Raw genomic sequence first — 24,261 nt, 5'->3', positions numbered from 1 at the left:
GATCATTATACATTGTATACAGGTATCAAAATACCACATGTATCCCCAAAATATGTACAGCTATGACATATCAATTAAAAAATACGAACTAAAATAAAATTTCCTAGGGAAAAAAATTCTTTGAAATAAGTGGATCATCAATTGCAACCATTTCCAGGACTATTACAACTATTTTAAAAGAATGTGTTTTTCGAATCAGATTTTTTTACTCATCAGAGGGTAGTTTTTTTTTTTTTCTTTTTTTAACTTAAATTGTCTGATTAATTTCCTCTGCTTTATCAGTTTGCCAACAAAGGCCAAGGCTACTAAGTCTTCCAAAAGTGACTGCTCTTAAAGTATTATGTTTCATGTGACCTGAAAATCTCTTCTGCCCCTCTTGGAGGCAACGTGATGTAATAAAAAGTACATGGGCTTTGGAATCAGACAGGCTCTGGGACTGGCCTGCCTCTGTCTCTTTCCAGCGGTGATCTAGGGCAAATTATTTAACCTCTCTGTTTCTCAGCTACTTCTATAAAATGGGGAAATAATATCTATCCCATGATGTTATTGTGAGGATTAAATGACATAATAAAGATCAAAGTGCTTAGTGCCTTGTAAATATTAAATGCTCAAAGATGGTTCTTGTAATTTGTTTGTTTGTTTGTCTATTCTGTGTTATGCGGCCCTGGGCAAGATGTCAAAGTTAAATCAAGTTCCATTAAGAGGACATGTAGGCCAGTTGGCTGATCTGTAAAATTATCTTTTGTATAAAGAGCAAATATTTCCATTACAAGCAACTTTCTTGTGTGTTGTAGGTGTGTTAGGTTTGGTTTGTGTTTTTAAGTGAGAGTTCAGTGGGTACCTGGAGTCCTGCAGCCCATTCAAGATGCTTAGGCCACTCCTTGCCCGATACGTGTGCTGGCAGGTAAATGGCATGCAGTTCCAATTCTGTAAGGCAGTTCTTCAGACCGTGGCAGCAGAAAGTGCAGGATGCCCCCAGCTAGTGGTCTATAGGCAGCTGCTACATGGAAGCACTCAGCACCTTACTCTGCAGCGTGCATTTAGAAAGGGGTTATTTCACTGCACCGCAAAAAAACCTTGAAAATACATTCTCTCCCCTGAGCCGCAAACACATTCCTTCCAGAAAATCAAGATTGCTAAAATGTTCCTCTTCTACTTCTTCAGATATCCCTGGTTCAGACTAGCCCTGGTGGATCTAAAAATATACTTTGAGTTCATTTTGACCATCTAAAGGCACTTTTCAGTGCCTTTCTCTGCTGTGTCCTCGTAAAATGGTCCTCAGCCAATTAGCAAGCCTCTCAGCAGCGCTTAATTAGTTGTAGCAGACACTAGTCAGGATTGCCATGGCATTATTGGGCTGCAGAGATAGGATGCATGCTGCCACAGCTTTTAGGCCTCCACACCAGCTTCCTAACTGATCCTGACAGGTCCCTTGAGTGAGGTCTGGCCCACCAGGGAGACCCAAGGTGGGTGCTTTTATAAGGGGGGATCCGTCTTTCTTGACTCCACACTCTGCAGGGTGGGCCGTTGCCCTCTCTATTAGACTCCTTTGCCATGTTTCTAGAACCATTTGGTTCTCTCTCATCTCTGGACTTTTACACAGGTTCTAATCTCTTCCTGAAATATTTTCCCCAAATCTCTCCTCCGTATCTCTTCTTTTCTTCCTCTAGTGAAATCCCATTTGTCCTTTCAGTCTTAGCTTAGACACGTTGCCTCCTCTAGGAAGCCTTCCCTCTCCCCTCTGCACCAGCAGGTCAGGGTTAGGGGATCTTCCTCTGGGCCCCAGGACGTCCTGAGCTTCTCCTTTCAGGGCGCTCATCCTGGTATGCAACAACCACATGCTCACCTATCTGCATACCCCATTAGAGGATGAGGTCTGGGCAACCAGGGCCTGTCTTTACTGTTTGCCATGGCATCCTCAGAACGCGAGCTCAGAGTCTCCCTCATGCAAGTGCTCATTGACACGGGCAAGGTTTTATTTGCTCTTTGTACAGATGTTCCCAATTATTTTTGGTCTCTTCCAACCCAAAAGCTGGACCCTTGAAAATGGACTGACATCTTAAAGAAAGAAAAAAAAACACAAAGAAAAAAGAAAACAAAATATACTGCAGTAAAAGCTCCAGCCTACTCTGCTTCTCAGTAGTTTTAGGCAAGTAGATTAATATCCGCAGACCCCAGGTGCCTTGTTTGTCAAAAGGGAATAGTAATACCTTTAAAATGTAAAGATGGGAAGCTCTTTTGAGTTTCTTTCTAAGAGATCTGGGATTTGATTTCCTGAACATGTATCATCAGAGGGAAGGAAGAGGAATTCTTGGGAAGAAATCTAAGGAAGGGGAACAATCCCAGCCTAGTTCTTTGGTGTCTTGCTGTCCTGGTGTTTCTGATGCAGTTAACATGTGAAGAATAACAATTACATTACAAATTTTACGATCTGTTTTTCTCTAAGCAGGTGACAGTCTTAAATCAAATTCATGTCTTTTAGACTTGGACATCACTCCTATTGGCAAGTAGTTTGGGATTAGGGGAAAATAGGCTGGGATTAAAAAGACAAAAGGCATCTCAGACCCCAAGAAGTTTCTGGCATGTGATATTTTGACGATGTTAAGGTAAACAGATTAGAGATCTGTGGATTGTGTTCCTTATGAATTATGGAGATTTTGAAATTAAAGGGAAAGGTTCTCTGGGCAAAATGTGTTTTGCATTTGGTTGAACCAAAACCGTACAAAGAGACCTAAAAAGTGGTTAATTTGAAAGCAGCTGCTTTTCCCTCCTGCCCCTATTTAAACTTCTTTGTCTTTTTAAATTTTTGTGGAAAAAGTATGAGTTTTGAAATGAAAGAGACCTAGATTCAAACAATCTGCAAGAAATAAGCCACTAGTCTAGTTGCTTAATGATTGTAAACCTGGGTGTGCTCATTTTCAAAAAGACCATGACAAACTTTACCTGGGGGGTAAATGTGCAAGAATTAAATAAGTTGAGATTAACAGTACCTAGCCAGCCCAGTGCCTGAGGTATGTAGTAGCTGCTTGGTGTTATAATATTTTTGCTAAGAAGCATTTCTTTTGTAACACACACACACACACACACACACACACACACACACACACACACAAATTACTTGTTTCAAAAACATACTAATTTCAAATCAGACTATATTCTAGGAGCACAGATGGCCTCTCAGTAAGCTTCTTACCCCTACTTACCTTCTGTAAAGGACATTCTCAGTATTTTTGCTGGAGTTTGCCTTAAGAAGTATCAGTTACCAGTAAACATAACTTATTTGTTCATAAGGAAACAAACCTTAGAAACTAACTGGCTAAAAACAAAATGTCTGGGGAAATCACAGTGAGGACAACTCACAAAATCAAAGGAAAATCTAGAGAACCAAATGTCAGCAAGGACTAAAAGCAAATCAGCTCTAACTTTGCTAGGACCAGGAACTACCTGTCAGTCGGGAGAAGTATGTGATTCATAGTCCAAAAAGCTTAAAAACGTTGGTGCGGATTAGCGTTTCACTGTTTACGATCACGTCTTAATATCCTGACTGAGTTATTTCAAGGACACGATTATCCTCCCACTGGCTGGGAATACGCCTCACTTTTTGGCTTCAAAGTGCTATGGTCCTAATATTTGGGGGTGGAAACTGCTAGAGGAAATGCCTGTTTATTAAATTTTAATATTCTGCACTTGGGGCTCACTTGCCTACTATTGAAGTATTAAGAATATACAAACTCTAAACATCGTTTAAAAATGATGCTTTTTCCTAGTTACAGGTCTGGAAGATAAATTTGTTTTATTTTAAATATTACTGACAATAAATTTGTCATGGATTGCCTGGGTCAAAAGACTAGATGGGCTTTTAAAAATTATTTTTGAGTAGATGAAGGACATAGTCAAATCAGCAATTGGATGAATTTAGAGAAGAAAAATCAGCAAACACAAAACTTTTAGTAGACTGAGTAAGCATAATGCAACTTGAAGGGCAGCCTTTGATTTCTGGCCTATGTGATCCCTGTTAGCACCTGTCTCTGGTATTTGTGGGCTGCCTGGGTGCTCTGATGCTCAGACACTGGAATGGTTTCCAAGGAGATGTTATAACAAATTCTGTCAACGTTGCATGGGAGTTAGCCTTCTTAGTAAGCAATGCTGAATCACCTCCTCTCTAAGCTGGGTTGATGCCTTAGCTTAGAGGAAAAGGGCTTATTTTAGCAAAACTGAATTCATAAAAAATTGAGCAGGCTCTGTGTCTGAGCCATATCTGACTGAAGGCCTTTGGTAACATGAGGACAATCAACATGTCAGAGGACAGTCACCATGCTAGAGGCCAGGTCCCTGGGCACCATCAGGGCCCTTAGCACTTGCTGGGAGTGTTAGTGCCACAGCCTATGTTCCTGGAGTGGAACCATCTTTGTGCACAGCTTTAGGTCTCTTTAGCCGCTCTGCTTCCTGTCCCTGACAAGGCAACCACTTCCAGGCAAGCTTCAACCAGGTTTGTGGAGGCACCACCTGACATCAACTACTTCTGGCCCTCTCATGCTTGCTACCTGCCCTCGAGCCTCTCTGGAATTGTGGGGACACAGGGGATCAGAGTTGATGGGCAATTGCTACTCCCTTTCATTTCTTGGGTAATTGTAGACCCCTCAGATAGTCTCATGGGATGAAGCGTAATAGTGGCCAATTCAACATCCATCCTTCTTTTTATTTTCCTCCTTCCCTGTTTTGCTTCCTTGTCCCTTCCTCTTGCTCCCTTCTAATTCAACTCCCTGAACACACACCTGTGCCAGGGTCTGCTTTGGGGAGAACCCAGTCTCAGACAACTTCTCTGGACTGTCATCCAAAATAAGCCTACCCTTCTTGCTAAGGTCCTTAAGTAGGGTCATATTTTCTTTCATAAGACTTAAGTTTCAAGCAAGGATTAGAATTATTCTGTTTTCTCACAAGATAATAAAACATTTGCATGTGCACCCAAAATCATATCACTTTCCTATAAATGGCACTTTATGATTTCAGAGCTTGACTGTTTTCTTAAGCACTTAAAGTTGAGTTCTTATTGCTTGTAACCTCAGCACAACCTTTCCCTGGAATCTATAGCCCTCTTGGCAGACAGCCTGGACAGATGAGTTGGCTCACCAACCTCATGAATAAGGTGATAGAACTGAAAGTAAGGCAGCAATAACTAGCTTCTCATTACAAAAACATAAGGACCTTGTGATTTAGAAGTTTGAACAGGGAGGAGGAAGTGGTTTGTGGCTAGGATGAGGAAGAGGATCTTGTTAAAGAGATTATGGCACCATGTAATACTAGATTGCACTCTTGGTATGTTTTGTTTGAAGACTTGCTGTCGTTTACATTCCATGCTCCCATAATGTACCCACTAATTGTGTGCACTATGCTATGCCCTGTAGGGTAGACAAATAATAAATGTTTTCAGTCATTAGAGGACTTGCAACTGAGTTGGGGAAAAGATAATTAGGGAACAATATTTGACAGTAAATAGAACCAAGGTAGAGAAAGGAGAGTTCTATATGAATTAATACTAAGAACACAATGAATGGGGATAGGATTTTGTCCAGAAAGACCTTGAAGAAGATACACGCGTTAAGTTAGGAAATAGCCGGTTTGGGATGGTAGAAAAGTTTTGGTTATCCCAGACAGTGGTAAGAACATGAACAAAGTTATTAAAAAATTATTCATTTGGTCATTGGTACCCACTTTGTGCTAAGCATCATATCTTGTACTGGGAATATAATGATGAGTAAAACACATTGGAACCCGAGTCACTGAGCTTGTAGCCTACAACTGGGGGACTTGTAAATGAGCTTTGTCTGCACTGAGCCAATGGCCCTGGAGCAAGTGCTATTCTGAGGAGCCTCTTGAAAGGCAAAAAAAAAAAACCAATAATTTTATGAGAAAAATGTGTTTAGATTTTTATTTCTGAAGTGTAAAACATTTGCATCGTAGATGTCACCTTTTATCATTATCTTAACAGTTCAAATTGTATAATACATGTTTCTTTCTCTGGGGAGCTGAGAGATTTAATTAGCAGACAGCTGTCTCTTTAATCAATAAGTTCATATATATATATATATATTTTTTTTTTCTTTCCAGAAAAATAAATGAGGACAACATTCTATGTTGATAACCAGAACTTATTTATTGCTTTCCCAATCAGAGTCATGGCAGACACATATTTCTAAATACTAAGAAATAGACCCTTTTCTACAAGAGTCGGGCTTTAGGCTTTACATAAATATCAATTTAGAAGATTCTCAAGCAAACTTATGCTCAAATTCTCTCTGATTACTGTAATTTGTCAGCTTGTTCTTTAAAATTGGAGATAAAAGGAAGTAATCAGTTATGAAGTGACAAAGACTACTTAAGGATATCTTAGGAGCTAAGCCTATTTCTTTTGTTTGTTTGTTTTCTAAGCTTATTTCTTATCGTATATCGAACTAGACTTCGGACAAATACCTGGGGCATAAAGGAGTGTCACTGGAAACAGTGTCCAAGCACTACCTCTTCTCAGTTGAGTAGGGAAATCCACCCTTGCCTCCTCAAATGCCTGCATTGCTATATATTTCAAAGATGGGAGACAATCACAGAACTGACCTGATAGTAGTTGTTTTATGGTGATGAATATTGTTTCTTTTTGAAGAGCAGAGAGAAATTTGTGAGGATTGTGGCTCCCTGACTCCTGATCACATGATGCAGAGAGCTGTCTGTGTGGAAAGAAAATTGATTTAAAAGCAGTTGGTGGCGTACCTAACACAAATTTGATGAGTAAAAAGAAAAGAAGCTCTGACAATGCCAAGGTAGATTTTAAAATGTTGATGGCATGAAGGCCTTGGAGAAACCTCCTTTTGATTTGATGGCCCTGGCACCGCATCTGTTGTCTTTTCACCAGCCTCATTCTCTGGTTTGCAGCCTGGAATTTTTCTTGCATGGACTGCAGTGACAGTCATTAGCCATGCATGATTCCTCAACACCATTGCTAGTTAGTATCAGCTTTGACGAATGTTTTAAAAAGTGAACTCTCTTGCTTGTTTCACAGTGCTTTTCCTCATTCCCTCAGAGAAACGAAGGGGAGGTGGTAAGGCAGGATTGGTTGGCTTGGGGAAAAAGTAGCTTTATGTGGGGAGTTGGAAAGAGCAAGTCTGCAAGTGTGGCCTTCACCCCTGGTTCTGAGGTGCCTGGACTCAGAGGTCTTGTCACGCAATCTTTCCTTTCCTTGTGCGGGTTTCTAGAATCTTGGAATAAGTAGCATCAACCTATTAGCCCTCAAAAAATTTCTAGAGAGAATGAGGCTCTCTTGACATCATACCGAGAGTTATTTTGGTTCCCTGTATTTCTACTCAATGCTCAACACCAAAGTATAGAAATCCAAAGAATTTTGACTTGGACTATGGAATTATACTCAAACCACGAAAAGAGACTATATTTGCCTCTACAATGAACGAGTACGTAGGATGTTCCTGGATGGCAAGTAGATAGTCCAAAAACCAATACAAATTAACAAAGCTTTATAGCCTATAACTTCCTTTCCTAAAATGTTACCTGTGTCACAAAAACTCACAAAGACCTGGGAAGTTGATACTGACATCCATTCTATAAATAAGGATAATGGAGTCTGTTCCAATTGGACCACTTATTAGTGAATGAGCCAAACTGAGACTTCTGTCTGCTCTACCCCATGATTCTGTCCACTATGGCATGCAACCCCCTTGAGTAAGTAAATTACTTTGAATGCAACTGAGATAACTTAGCTAGGTATCTTCACTGTACCTGAGCAGTGAGAAATGTTTACTGATAAAAAGTATCTCTTGAGAAATCAGGTGAATGAAGGTGTGAAAACAATTCTGCCAAGGTGGAAATTGGATTTCAATGGTGGTGTTCAAGATGATCATTTCATTCACTACTGCAAAGTGATAGAGCATGAAGCAAAGAGCCAGGAAAATGGTTTTCAATCATGTGTATTTGCTTGAGCTATAGGAATATCTGCCAATTGCAAATTTAACTTAGTGAGATTCCTTTTTCTTTTCAAAATGAAAACTTCTCTTTGAGGACAAAACTAAGACTTTTAACTGAGAGTAAATTGATTTTCCCAGAAGTCTAGCTATTTGGTTACATCAGTTAGGAGCTGGTAAATCACCAAGGTAAATGAAACATAATTTGCAGAAGCCAACCATGGGGCTTCCCATAATTCCCAGTGTCATGCTGTTGTCCCACTTTATTTATGGCTGCCCTCTCTCTGCACAGCCCTTGGCCAGAGTTTATACACATTCTCTCATATAGGCTTCATAGTAATCCTGCCAGAGAGGTTAAATGATATGTCAGTGGCTACACAGCTAGTAAGTCTAGGAGCTAGGATTGACACTGGGGGCCATGTTGCTACAAACCCTCAGTACCAGAGTTTTTAAACTTTGTCTTTTGGAGGTGTCTTGGGATGCTGGAGGTGCTATGAGCCACAGGTCAAGGCTATTGCCCTCTGCTTGTGCAGAGCATCCCCTATCTTTATCTCTTTCACATATGGTGGGGTTCCTGAAGTCTAGAGCTCACCAAATTTATAACACAACTCAGATACACAAGGAGAGTATCGTTTCTTTATTTGGTCTCTAGCTGATCCTGATGAAGAGGCCTCATCTGATTGCAAGCTGGGAAAAGAAAGTTAAGTAGCTATCCAGAGCAGTTTACACTTAGTTTACTCTAAACCTTTAAGGATCCTTTTTTAATAAGTGAGGTCTTTCAGAGGGCCACCTCACCCACACTTTCTGTCTTTAGAAGGCAGAAGACATAACCCAGAGGGCATATGAGGGAGGGATGTTTGCCGTTCCTGTTCTCTTCTGTCACGATGATCCTAGGCTGCCTGGGTACCAGGCACCCAGATGCTCAATGCTGAAGTAACTGGGGGTCTATCCTTTTAGCTCCAGCAGGCTCCTGGCAAAGCTCCCAGGCTGAATGGCCTCCTTCTCCTGTTACGACTCTGACTCTTCCAAGGATTGGCTGTGACTCATTTGTCACTAGTCCGAACAGCCAGCCCTGCGATCTTTATTGACTAAGAGATACCTTATCCCTTAGAAGGGGACCCCCTCTGGCTAAACTGGCTCCTTCTACTAAACTAGACAATAAGAATTTCCCTGCTGGTCTTAACAAATCTGTTCTCAACTCCAAAAAATTGTAAGCAGATTTAGTTACACATGAAATAGGAATGATTGCTTTTCCTCAATCAATACACCAGTGATTTGAAAGCGTTTGTAATCAATGAGAATCAAAAAATGCAGAATGTTAATCCTGCAAAGGCCTGTAAAGGCTGTTCACACCCCTTCTCCCCCATCTTAAAGAAGGAGAAACCTGGAACCCAGAGAGATGAAGCAGTTGGCCTGGTCACAGTCCCAGTTTACAGTGGAGTCAGACCTTGGCCCATCCCCTGACTTTCAAGTCCTATATTTAAGCGCCCACACCACACAGCCCTTCAATCATAAACCCATATCAGTCAGAATGGTTGAGGGCTGTCCTCAGTGCCTGGGCACCAAAACTACAGGCACGTTACACTTTTACAAAGTTAACCCGTCAGAAAGAATAACTGCAATTGCTTTGGTACACACCAGTTTTCTATGAAATCCTTTGAGCTCAAGGAGGTCAAGCACATTTCTCTTCAAGTGATGTACCCATAAGTCTCTCATGTATTTGAAAGATGTACAAGAGACCAAGGTTGAGAAGAAAATAGAAGTTGCACAAACCAGCTCAGAAAAACTTTTTATTTTATCAATAGTTCTTTATCTCTACTCATTCTAGCTTCAAAATAATGCTACCTTGGGGGAAGCATAATAGAAAATTTTCAGCAGAAAATATATTCACTAATGAGAAACAAGAAAAAGCTCCACAATGAATACTAATGTGCTGCCTAAATATTTTATCTTCAATTTTCCATTCAGTGTGAACCATCCAAAATAAAATGTAAAAATGATGATTTTGGAGATGTGATACCATCCCTAAGGGGAGGATGGGGTGGGGATTTTCAAAAAGATATAAAATGGCTCTTAAAAATAGAAGAAAGTGTTGTTAATTAGAAGTGCCCTTCCCCCTATATTGCAGACTACTTATTTTGGGTAGGATGGAGGGACTTTTTAGGAAGCTCATGTGGTTGTTTTAGTCTCCAGAAGCACATACTGGCCTGGCTTTGGGGACCATGTGATTCTTCAATGACTCCTGTTGCTTCCAAGGCCACAGAGTCAGAGATCTCCAATTTCAGGCCTCCCACTGTCAGAACCTGTCTCCTCGCCCCCAATCCTACCCCACCGCCCCAGGGTATAGGCAACTCCTCATTTCTTCTGGGCTGGGTCATGGCCTCTTCAGGCAGCCTCTGGGGAAGCTTTGGCAGTAACTTGGTCCTGTGATAGAGAGGTGTGAGAGTTCCTTATCGGGGACTGTTCTAGGCTGGGTTGTGTCTCTCTAAGTTTTATATATTGAAGTACTAACTCCTAGTACCTCAGAATGTGACCTTATTTGGAAATAAAGATGTGATTAGATGTGATTGTAGATGTGATTAGTGAAGATGAGGTCATACTGGAGTAGAATGAGTCTCTAATCCATTATCACCGGGATCTGTATAAAAAGGGGAAATTGGGACACAGACATGTGTAGAGGAAAGACAGTATAAAGAGACAAGGTGAGAACATCATCTCCAGGCCAAGGAATGCCTGCAGCTACCAGAAGCTAGGGGACAGGCTTAGAACAGATTCTCTCTCACAGCCCTTAGATGGAACCAATCCTGCCTACATTTTGATCTTGGACTTCTAGCCTCCAGAAGCAGGAGACAATAAATTTCTGCTTTGCAAGCCATCCAGGTTGTGTTACTTTGTTGGTTTGTTAAGAAATGAACGCAGGGAACTTTTCTCCTATTCCAAGTCCATAGAATCCCTTTCCGAGTCTTCCTCCACTATTGCCTAAATCTTCCCCTTCTAAAACTGGGCTGTCCTTAAAGGACCGTATTTGTACTTAGCTCAGGCCTCATCTCTCTCCTAAGGCGATCTGCATGGAAATTTTATATGTGGTTGTGAAATGTGGAGTCTTGTCCCCTGTTTTGGAAGCAATAAAACATGGAGGTCGAAAGCATAGGCTTGGCAGTCAGAAAGCACAGTGTTTAATAGCTTCCTGGCTGTTGGACTTTGAGAAGTTAAAGAAGCATGAACTTCTCATCTGTTAAATGGGGCACTAATGCTCCTCAACTTCTATGATTAGGTGAGATTGTAAAAGGAAGGCACTTAGCACAATTCCTGACAGATAAGCACCTCCATTAATGAGAGCTATTAAAAATAGTACCTATTAGGGGGAGCTTCAGGCATGGAGGAACAGGGGTGGGGGCGTGTGCATGGAGTCTTTTCAGCTCTCTGAAATTAGACTAGACAGCTGCCTACTCGGTTATGTAACTCTTGAGTCACATTTATAGTCTCCATTAAGCCGAATAACCACATGACCCCTGTGTGTCTTAGAGAATCTAAGAAAATATCAATTTTAACATGAAAATAAAAGGGTTTGCTGAGCCACAAGATGCAAATGATATCCAGAACCAAGTAATGCTGTCCCCTGCTTCTTCCAGCAGGGTGAGAGGAGTCAGCACATACAGGTCAGGTACCTAGAATCAGTCAAACCCAACCCTGAGGTGAGAAAACACAGCTCCCCTTCTATTCATCTGCATGACCATGGGCCACTGTCTTAGTCTCTCTGAGCTTTAAGTCCCTTACCTGTAAAGGGTCCTGGAGGATAGTGTTGTTGTTCACAAATATTTCCTGCTCTTCTCAGGGGATGTTACAATCTCTGACCCCAATCATATCTCAGTTGTCCCTATGACTTGCTTTGACCAGTGAAAAAGGAGGGGACATGATGGGTATGCCCTCAGGCCTCTTCTTACCTCTGTTATCATGGAAGCACCTGTCAAGATGGCACCACTATTAGCCTGGTCCTGAGTGTGTACAATAAGTAGGTCACCTTCGTGAACTATGACCACAAGCAATCAAACAACTTTGCTGCTTTAAGACCCTGAGATATTAGAGTTGTTTGTTTCCACAGCACAACTTAGCTCATTTGGACTGATATGGGTAGGAAGGCAGACATATGCTTCATGGGGCTCTGGGGAAAGGCTTTTCAAATATGAAGTGCCTTACAATTATAGGCCAATACTTGAGAGAAAAAGAAACTTTAATTCCCATGAATTATCCCCTACTCCTACCAAAACATTATGATTAATAATTAAATATTAGTTGAGGAAAAAACAAACAAAAAATCCCCACTGATCAGGCAAACTCCTTTCTCTCAAAGTAGACAGAGGAAAGAAGGAGATATGAAGCAGAATTATTGACAACAGACTTAAAAAGAAGCACCTTGGAAGCTTGCTTAAATCAGGCCGTCCTCCCACTGGCTGTCTCAAGTCTCTTACCTTCTGATTTTTGCCTTTTTGTGCATACTTCAAATGTCTAAAAGAGCTACTTGAAAATTGTATTTTTCTTTATATTTGAGAGGAAACCCATCAAATGTGCACATAAAGTCATAATGTTCCAGGTCATAGAAAGAAAGAAAAAGATAGAAATCAATTATTTAGAAGGCACTCATTTGTTTCCTGTAAAGCTTGTAATATGCATTATTTATTGTACGGAGAGAGCAAAAAGGGCTTTCTTATTCACGTGACAAATTCACCAATGACCCTAGAGGAAACTTCCGTTTTGTTGTCCTCAATGTAGAAAGTCTTAGCATAGGTCATCAAAGAAAAAAAAGGAGATAATGCCCAAAACACAGTTGACATAGTATTTCACTTTCATATTTATATTTGAATAGGTGAATGACAAAAATTCTGCTAATTTTCTTCAATCAGGTTAATTAAATCACACAGAAGACTTTACCCAGAAGTATCCAACCAACATCCTCATTCTACTCCTTGTTTGGTTATTTCCTGCTCCATTGCAAATGAACAACACTAACTCACAGATTATTATTTTTCTTAAAGTCCCTGAGAAAATAGAATTGCCTTTTTCTCTTTTGAAAAAATTCCTTCTATTTGGTTTGCACCTTTCTGGGACCAAGATGTTTGTTTTAAAATAGAGGCAACCTCAAGCCTCCTTTCCTTCCAATTCTTGCTGAGCTATGGGGTGAAATTGAAAAGAAATAAATGGTAATAATGTTAGCCAAGGAGGCTGCCATTACAGGGAAATTGGAACAAGAGAGATCTGGGGTGAAAAGAGGCTGAAGAAAGTACAGCTTAGAGCTGATCTGTTTTAGGACATCAGTCAGACCTGGCCAGAGCATTTGGAAATGTGCTACTTCTGGAATGAATAAGCCAGGACTTGTGGGGAGGTGTGGGAATTTATTGATTTGAGTTCTTGGGCCATCATCATTTTTCTTAAATTACTTTTTCGAGGTATTGCCCTTCTTGACTCAGACATGAAAGATGTCTCCTCTCATTTAAATCAGAATGCAAAATTGGGAATTGGTCCCACATCTTGCATGTAGGAAAAGAACACTTGGATATAGAAAACCAACCGATAGGAGCTCCTTCTCCTCTTGGAGATCTTCTATAAGAGGCCATCATAATGCTTCTCTCGACCATTCTCCAGAAAGTGAACCTAAAGAACTTGAACAAGAAGACCAAAAAATGCACCATCTCTAAAGAATGAGAAGACAAGCCACAGACTGGGAGAAAATATTTGCAAAAGACCTATCTCATAAAATACTGTTCTCCAAAATGTACGAAGAACTCTTACAACTCAACAGTAAAAAAAAAAAAAAAAAAAAAAATTTAAAAATGGGCAAAAGATCTGAGCAGACACTTCATCAAAGGAGATATAGATGGTAAATAAGCATATGAAAAGATGCACAACATTATGTCATTAGGAAATTGCAAATTAATAAAATATCACTATGCATCTATAAGAATGGCCTGAATCCAAAACACTGACAACACCAAATGCTGGCAAAAATGTGGAGCAATGGGAACTCTCATTCGTTACTAGTGGGAATGCAAAATGGTACAGCCACTGTGGAAGATGGTTGGGCAATGTCTTACAAAACTATTATAACACTCTTACCATACAAATCCAGGAGTCATGCTCCTTGGTATTTAACCAAATGACTTGAAAACTTATGTCCACACAAAAACCTTCACATGTATGTTTATAGCAACTTTATTCATAATTACCCAAACCTGAAATCGACCAAGATTTCCCTCGGTAGGTGAATCGATAAACTGTGTTGCATCCACACAATGGAATATTATTCAGTGCTAAAAAGAAATGAGCTATCAAGCCATGAAAAGCCATGGAGGAAATTTAAATGCATATTACTAAGTGAAATAAGCCAATCTGAAAGGTTACATATTGTATGATTTCAACTATATGACATTCTGGAAAGGCAAAACTATAGAAACAGTAAAAAAGCTAGCAGTTGCCAAGAGTTAGAGGGGAGGGAGGATAAATAGGTGAAGCACAGATGATTTTTAAGCCAGTGGAAACACTCTGAATGATATTATTATGGTGGATACATGTCATTACACATTTGCCCAAGCCCATAGAGTGTTTAACACCAAGAATGAATCCTAATGTAAACTATGGACTTGGGTAGTGAATCCTAAAACAAACTATGGACTTGGGTAATCATAAGTGTCAATGTAGGCTCATCAATTGTAACAAATATACCACTGTTGATAATGGGGGAGGCTTTGCATGTTTGTGAGTAGGGGGTATAGGAGAACTCTCTGTACCTTCCTCTCAATTTTGCTATGAACCTTAAACTGCTCTAAAAAAATTAAGTCTTTTTAAAAAAGAATGTACACACACACACACACGCACGCGCACGCACACACACACACACACACACACACACATATAAAAGAAATAAGTCAGGGAGTAGTTGATTCCACAGACCTTTGGGGAGTTGATTCAGATCTGACACACATGAGCTGGAAGGAATTGGTTAAAGTGCCATCTTGGATTATAAGCTGCCTTTGAGAAATCTTTGTATCCAAAAATTAGGTTCTCTAACTTTCAACTATTCTCTCCCATTAGCTTCATACATTTCAAAACATACTAGCAGATCAACCCAAGAATTGTTATTTTGCTTTTTAAAGAAATATGAAATATTTAAGTGCCCATAATGGAGTAGGTGTTGTGTGAAGCCACAGTAACACTGTTTCATTGACACATATTGCTTTTGCTTTACATTTTAAGATAAAAATTTGTATTTATCTTAAAATAGATGTCCATCTTATACTTTGCAGTGTTTTTTCTTCCTTAGTAATATATAAACTCATTCACCTTATAGTCAGCGTCTTAGATCTCACAAAATATGGTAATGTGGGAAACAAAAGAAAATGTGGATCTTCAGCCCGGTAGAGAGATGGAATTAAATGAGCCATCATGCAAATGAAATTATAACTGTGATTAGTGCTTTGAAAGGATGGTACATGGTGCTGTGAAAGACATCTAGGGAACCAGGAAAGACTTCATGGAGAAAGTGTCAATAGCCTGAGAACTAAGAATACAGGAAGAGTAAGAGTTATCTCAGTAAAGGGTAAGAGGATGAGTATTCCAGGTGGAGGGGACTACAGGTCCAATGGCTTCAGAGCAGGGGAGAATTTGAGGTGTAGAAAGATCAGTGTAAAGGACGGCCAGAGTAGGGGGAGAGTGCGCTGTGAGGTGAGTCTGGGAAGGTAGAAAGGTTCCTTTGATGCACGCAAATGGAAATGCCAAGTAAGTAGTGGACTATTTGGGTCAGGAGCTCACAGGAAGTTTCTGTGATGGAGATAAAAACTGTTGAGTCATCTGGATCAAGCTTGTAATTAAACCCATGTGTGAGAATGGCTTAACTAAGGGATGTGATTCTCAACTTTGGCTGAACTCTAGAATATTCTGGGAGCCTTTTAGAAATCCCAATGACAGCCAATCCATTATGTATACATATTCAAAACAGTATCTTATATACAATATATACAATTTTTTGTCAATTTGAAAAATAATAAGTTTTTCACATAAAAAGTAAAATTTAGAGAGAGAATTTTATTGAGAAAAAAATCCTAACAATCAGGCTCCCCACAAAACCAATTAGTAAAATATCTCTGGGGATAGGAATTAATATTTTTAAGGGTCCTAGATGATTCACCAGGTGCAGGTATGTTTGAGTACTACTGGCCTAGAGAGATAATACAGAGTAGAAAACAAGGAGACACTAGAAGGAAGAATCGGGAACTCTAATACCTAATGGCCTGATGGAGGAGGAGAAACTTGCAAAGGAACTAAAGAAGCAATGGCCAGAGAGATCAGTGAGAAATTAGGAGAATGCAGGGTTACAGAAGTCAAGAGGAAAAGGAAAAAGTTGTCACCAGTGCAACTTAGAGTGATGCTAAGGGTTAAAACATGAAAGGACTGAAAATATCCATTGCGGCTAATCACAGAGGGTCAATGATGACTCACTGGCATCTGTCTCTTGGTATGGTGTCAGAAGCAGCCAGATCAGGCTGAGGGCTGGGGTGGAATTGAGAACACCAAGTATTTGGGCCTCTTTTTAGAAGTTTGGCTGCAAAGAGAAGTCAATTGAGGAGATCATGGGGTAGATAAAGTTTTATTTATTTATGTATTAATATTTGTAAGTGAGAACTATCTGAGTCTGTTTGAGAGTTAAAAGTGAACAACCACTTTAATATACAAGATGATAGCATACATTTCCTGAGAAGCTGGAGGGAAAAAAATAAACTTAAATTCAGGTGAAGGGACTAGGTTTTGATAGGAAGAAGGAATGGCTCCTTTACTGTAACAGGGTGATATGGTTTGGCTCTGTGCCCCTCCCCCAAATCTTGTCTCGAATTGTAATCCCTATCATCCCCATGTGTTGAGGAAGGGACCTGGTGGGAGGTGATTGAATCACGGGGGCAGTTTCCCCCTTGCTGTTCTCCTTATAGTGAGTTCTCAGGAGATCTGATGGTTTTATAAGTGTTTGACAGTTCCTTCTTCACAGGCTCTCTGCCTTTCCTGCTGCCTTGTGAAGAAGGTACTTTCTTCTCCTTAACCATCTGCCATGACTGTAAGTTTCCTGAGGCCTCCACAGCCATGCAGAACTGTGAGCCAATTAAACCTCTTTTGTTTATAAATTACCCAGTCTCGGGTAGTATCTTTACAGCAGTGTGAAAATGGACTAACACACAGGGTGAAGGAGGAATCGGTTGAAGGAGAGGTAGATTTCCACGTGCGGTAGTGGGAAGAGGAGAGAGTTCTTGTGCGAGTTTCATCTTGTATATGAAAGCAACTTGAAATGTTTTTATTAACACATGTCCCTGGTTTGGCTTCAGAAGTTATGTTTCTCCTAAGGACAGTCTCATCCATGTGGCTTATCCATGAGCTGCTATCCATGTATGATAATTATCTTGTTGGCTGGAATTCCCTTCCAAAGTTTCTGCTCACCTATACACCATTAATACATTAATCCATCTAAGCAGGAGTTATTCCTTAGCTGACTAATTAGGGATTGTATCCCTGATATTAAAGCCCATACCGTCACACAAAAAAGGTTTGCCTGAGGCCAACTCTATGCCAAGTATGGCATTGACTGCAGAAAATTTAAAAAGTGAACAAGATGGAGAATTTGAAATTCGTTCTTACCCTGCTCTTACCAACACACTCATGATCTAGATAGAAGACTAATGTCTAGTAAGTAACTTTTAATGATTAAAGAGTTAAATCACTGCACGCACACTCTAAACACTAACTTTGTTGTTTCAATGGCATTCTTGCAGTATAAGCTTGGCTTTGGTAGCTTTTTAAAATACAGTAGTTTTTTGAGCATAAGATAACTTCTAAGGGAAGCACTGCAAGCACCAAAAGCCTTCATTATTGATGCCTACTGGAAAAAAGGGCAACAATTTTATGCTTCTTTAAAAAATTAGATGAAAAAGTACTTATTATTTAAATTACAAAATCTGCTGATTTAGGAGTATCCTTAAAGGTAATCTTTTCCAACCTCCAATCTAAAGCTTGAGGCTCCTCTGGTGTGAAGACAAGCTGCTTGGGGGCTGATGAAGGGAGTCTGGGGGCAGAGGTGTGGGGACATCAAAGAGGAAAGGTAGACTGGGAGAGCATGCTCCTAGTGCACAGACCCCTCCCACCCCATGCACACAAATACACACAGGGCTCCTAGTCTTTTTTTCCTTTTTTAGCCCAATTAGGACAGGAATCAATAGAAAATGAGTAAAAAGCAGACAAATACATGCATTTTCCTGTATTGTACTTGAGTGCTTTGCATATAATAACTTAATATTTACACATGAATAAAACAGCAACCTGAATGACCTTCTCTGCCAGCTGATAAGTGGACTTCTAGCATGTTAATAAAGTATATATATATAAACTTCTTCATCCCCTCTTATTGACTAGGACTGTTCACACAATGAGCTTAATACTGTGTGCCACGTATTGTGCTAGAGGATGCAAAGATATATATGATAATGCCTGCCCTTGGAAGCTCATGGTCTACTAAAGCTGTAGAGACCAAATATTTGCAACACAGAGGCCAGAGCTACCCTAGATGTCTCAGTGTGATTATGCTGCCCTGAAGGGATGAGGCAGGAGTGACCCGGCAATGTGGGTAACCACAGGTCCCGTGCTGGCCACAGGAGCATAGATAAAGTGTTAAGACTGGGGAAGTGCAAATATTAGTTGGGTGAGAGACATATGTTGGTAAGCCAGAGAAGAATCTAGATTGGCAATGACAAGGAGGGCCAGAGGTAGATGCCAGGAACTAGAGCAGAGGCCGAAAAATCAACATCCAAAAAATGAGACCTGGGCACTACAGTTAAATCAAAAAGCAGGAAAAATAATCTGGGTGAATACTTAAACCAGGAGGGCTTCTGCCCACTTGTGGCTTCCTGACCTTTCCCAATGTTTGGCACGTGCAGAATTGGCTCCAGATAAAATAGTAGAGTGGCCAGAATAGAAGAGTATTCAGAAGTAAAAGCAAGCAAGGGATTCAGGGAAACTTTCTGGTGGACTTTGATGAAGCAGATATCATAGAACTTTAGAAGGACTAGGGCTGTGCTCTTTAGGAAGATGACTCTAGGCATGGTTACCACTGCAAAAGCCTGATATGCTATGTAGTGTGTGCTCTGTGTGGAAAGATGTTTCAAGGGTCTTTGACTCTGCAGCTAGGACCCAGTTATGGACTAAGCTACATGTATTCACTATACACTGTTGGCCATGAATACTCCAGATCATGAATACACATAATGAAGTTATACCAATCTCCACCCTTGAGATGGATAGAGGGCAGGAAACTTCATTTGGGATATAGTCTGGTTCTCCCTTATTTTTACTTTGTCCCTTAAGTAACTCAATAGTCTTCTTGATGAGCGGGATACACATATATCTGCAAAAAGAAATAGAAATTAGATTCTCTTAGTTGCAGGTGAGATGGTTTTATCATCATGAGATAGCATTGTTTTAAATAGATAATTGGACTTAACATTTAATTATCACCATTCAGAGAGGCTTTGGATCAACTATGCTAAAATCAAAGATAGCACTTTAGGAAGACGCCTCACAGAATTGCTAGTGGCACTGCTCTTTGCAGATGGGTGTTTCACATCTACTTCATCTTGAAGACTATTCCAGGAAGCTAAATTTACCAAATGTAAATCTTCTGTGGATGCTTTCATCTAGGTTCAAATTATATAGCCATGCTTTATGGCAAAGAATTGTTGAGTCTCAATTTTCCATTTTTCCTTGAATTGTAGCAGACTTAAAATTACCTTCTGAGTAAAACCTTGGCCCCGTTTACAGGCACTTTCTCAGCTCTCCTTATTCAAAATTGGAAATGACCTTCTATTCAGGCCCACATTCTTTTATGATGCCTCAATTTTTACAGAAAAGGGATGATCCTCTCTCATCCCTGGCAACTGAGAACAGGGCCACCCCAGGGGCATGTAAGAGAGCTAATCTTGAACTCACTGTCAGGAAACCTTTCAAAAGCTCAGGTAAGAGATAGAATTCCTCTGGGGAAATAGTCGGCAACTCTCTTCCTCTAGATTCTGTGAAATCTAATCTTAACCTAAACCAAACAGCCAAAAGAATGTGCTCCGGCACAATGCCAGCAGGACCATTGCAAGAAATATCTTTGAGGGAAGAACATGATAGGCTTAATATAAAGTTGATATTGATCAGTATTTGATATTATAGTGCACAGTGTCTTCTGTAGGGAAATCCACCAAAGATTTCTCTCCTTAGGAATAGACAAGCGTGTGTGTCATTGAAAAAATGTTTAATTGGAGAGTATAATTTATTGCAAAGTGCATAAAACAGAACAGTTTGACAAATGAGCAGCCTTGTGAAGGCCCTCCTATGTCAAGCAGCCCCTTCCCTCCTCCCTTCTCAATCTTCTTTCTGCCACCTGAAATTTAGCCTTACCTTAATTCATATTGCGATGACTTCCTTGATTTTCATCATGTTTTCCTCAGCAATATAGTTTTTAAACTATTTGTATTGTGTGTGTGTATATATAATATACATGTGGAATCACTATATATATATATATATGTGTATATATATATATATATATATATATATACTTATCTGTTTATTTTGTTCAGTATTAAGATCCATTTAGCATTCCTGAATTTAGCTGTAGTTTGTTCCTTTTCATTGCTTATATTATTCCAGTGTACCAAAGTATCCTAATTTATCCATCCATTGTACATTTGGTAGATATTTGAGTAATTTCTTTTTAGGTGTTATTGGAAACAATGATGCTCTTAACATTCTTGTAATGCACATGAAATAATTTCTCTGGAATATGTACCTTATAATTTCTGGGAACTGAAATAAATATTTCTATATGTACATTATATGTATATATTTACTTATTTATATTTTTAGGAAAAGTATATATTTCTAAAGGACTAGTGTTCAGAATAGGCTTCTATTGTCCTTCTCTCCATCAGTGGATTGGTTTTACTCTTGTAAACAGTGATGAGTCCCTTTTTGCATTGGTTGCCAGAATAGTAAAAGCTACACATGTTGCCAGACTGTGCTCCATAGAGCATCATAGACATAGGGGCTGGGTGGATGGGGTGGCTCTGGACCTGCTGAAGAAGGAAGGTAGGAGTACGGTGCTTCCCCCTCATCTTGTTCATCCAAGCAGAACAGCTTTTACTATTATGAAATATTATTGGCATACAGGCAAGTATAGAGGATAATAACAAACTTGTTTTCATCCAGTATACATATTAGTTTTCTGAATATGTATTTAAGAAATGCTTCTATGGCTTTTATAAATGTAAACATCAGATCCAACTCACACAGAGAAAAAGTACAGAGGATCAGGAGACCTGACTTTGTTGATCTGGGTCTGGTGTGAGTCATTTCATCTGACTCTTCTTATTCCTTTTATTCTTGAGTGTTGTAAGGCTCAAATGACTGGATGATGTGGTCATTCCAAGAAATTCAATGAAGAATCTTTAGTAAAATACTAAAAAATATTCACAATAACATAGAGGTAACTATCCAAGACTCCTATGGCCTAGACTCTGGGGTCTGCACCAACGTAGTTATAATGTAGAGATTAATCTATGTACAGTGTTTAGGATTCTTGACATTATTATTTGACCCAGAGATTTTGCTCTTATATTTGGGGACATCTTAATCTATAACATAGTTACATTGTTTTCTGCTTAAAGATATGTCATTCAGATTAACTTTTATGCAGTACTTAAGAGTATGGACTTTGAAGTCAAATAAACTGAGTTCAAGTTAACTTGGGGAAACTTGCACAAGTCATTCAACATCTCTGAGGCTCAAGTTCCTTGTTCATGAAATAAGTTGATCATAATAGCTATTATGTTTGGTAGTCATAAAGATTAAAGGAGATCCTGCAAGTAAAATGTTCAGCATAGCATATGGCACAGTAACAAGCCAATAAATACTAGCTGGCATCAGATTATTCTGATTCATAGCCTACTCTTGTCCATAGCTCCTGTCATCACCTTGGATGACACTAATGTATATGATATGTATATGATACATATCATATACATATCGTTATACGTATATAATATACATAGCATTATATGTATATAACATACATATCGTTATATGTATGTTATATACATATCATATCATATACATATTGTTATATGATATGATATGTATACGTATACATATACATATGTATACGTATACATATACATATGTATACGTATACATATACATATGTATACGTATGTATACGTATACATATGCATATGTATACGTATACATATGTATACATATACATACACATATACATACGTATACATACACATATACATACGTATACATATATACACATACATATACATATATACATATACATACATATACATACACATATACACATACATATACATATACATACATATACAAATACATATACATACATATACAAATACATATACATACATATACATATAAACATACATATACATATATACAGATACAGATATAGATATACATATACAGATACAGATACAGATATACATATACATATACATATCATTATATGTACATGATATCATATCATATACATATCATTATATGTACATAATATGTATATGATAACATCATATACATATTATATCATATGTGTACATATCATATGTATATGATAACATCATATCATATACATAACATATCATATACATATCATTATATCATACACATATCATTATATACATATGTATATGATATAATGTATATGATATGTATATGATAACACCCAACACCCTAACTTCCCAGGTTCTTGATCTTTTCCTTTCTGGTAACATTTGCCTCTTCTACACTTCAGCTACACAGCAACTCCCTGGACCTTGTTAGAAATGGCATCACCTCTGGAATATCCCACTTAAGAATCACCATTTCCCTTCCTTTTTGTTTAAACAGCTATGTTAGTTTAGGAACACTAGCTGCTGCAACAGACAAAACACAAAATCCCAGTGCAATATGAATTTACTTCTCACAATATAAATTTTATATTTCTCACAATATAAACGTATTTCTCAACCTCTTAAAATTTAAACTGGGTGCTCCTGATTAGTGGGCAGCTCTCATCTAAGCAGCAGTTCCAAGATGCATGTTCCTTCTGTCTTGCGACTCTACCATCTTCGACATGTGGCTTCCAAGGGCCAAAGAAGGGAAAGGGGATAGAGAATTGCATATGGAAATTTTCATGGGTCAAGCCTAGAATTGGCACACAACACTTCCATCTATAGTCCACCAGCCAGAACTGAGACACATGTTCATAACAGACAGGAAAAAGAATAAACAGGGTTTAGTGAATATCTAGCCCGTCTCTTCCACTCTATTAACCCACCTAATCTTCAATTTTCAGCCTTATTGAGATATCTGATCCTTTTATCCTTTTCCTTCCTTTCATCTGCTCTCTCCTGGTTCCTGTCCTCCTATTCCAGCCTATTCCTCGTGACGAAGCACCTGAACTACCCTCTTTCAATGCCATCAACTCCCATATCCCTGAAAAGTACCAGCTATAGATCAATCTAACCACTCTCATTTCAGCTCTTCTAACTACGTTGCTGATTGCTTCCAGGAAAATACACACACACTGTAGATTGCTTCCACCAACACTTCATATTTTTCAGCAGCCAGCCACCTGATGTTGCTGAGTAATACTTGTGCATCTTTCTAATTAGTCCTCTTTTTCTTTCCCGACAGCAACTATATCAAATCAATCTCTAATCTCACTGAACTGTTATCTATTTATTTCCTTAAGTTTTAGTTTATAATTTCACTAACTATTATAAGGAAAATAGAAGCCAGCATCCCTAGCCTACAGAGAATGGTCACTACAGAGCTTTTAAAAGATGCAAGTGGCCGGGCGCGGTGGCTCACGCCTGTAATCTTAGCACTTTGGGAGGCTGAGGTGGGCGGATCACGAGTTTAGGAGATCGAGACCATCCTGGCTAACACAGTGAAACCCCGTCTCTACTAAAAACACACACACAAAAATGAGCCGGGCATAGTGGCCGGCGCCTGTAGTCCCAGCTACTCCTGAAGGTTGAGGCAGGAGAATGGCGTGAACCCGGGAGGCGGAACTTGCAGTGAGCACCACTGCACTCCAGCCTGGGGGACAAAGCGAGACTCCGCCTAAAAAAAAAAAAAAAAAAGATGCAAGTGACAAGTGATTCCCAAACCAGTGTATTTCATAATGGCTTGGTAAACGGAGTGTCTTCTGGACACTTCCCCC

The sequence above is a fragment of the Homo sapiens genome, chromosome 11, assembly GCF_000001405.40.
Source record: "Homo sapiens chromosome 11, GRCh38.p14 Primary Assembly".
In the NCBI taxonomy this organism is placed as follows: domain Eukaryota; kingdom Metazoa; phylum Chordata; class Mammalia; order Primates; family Hominidae; genus Homo; species Homo sapiens.
This window is presented reverse-complemented; position numbering follows the sequence as displayed.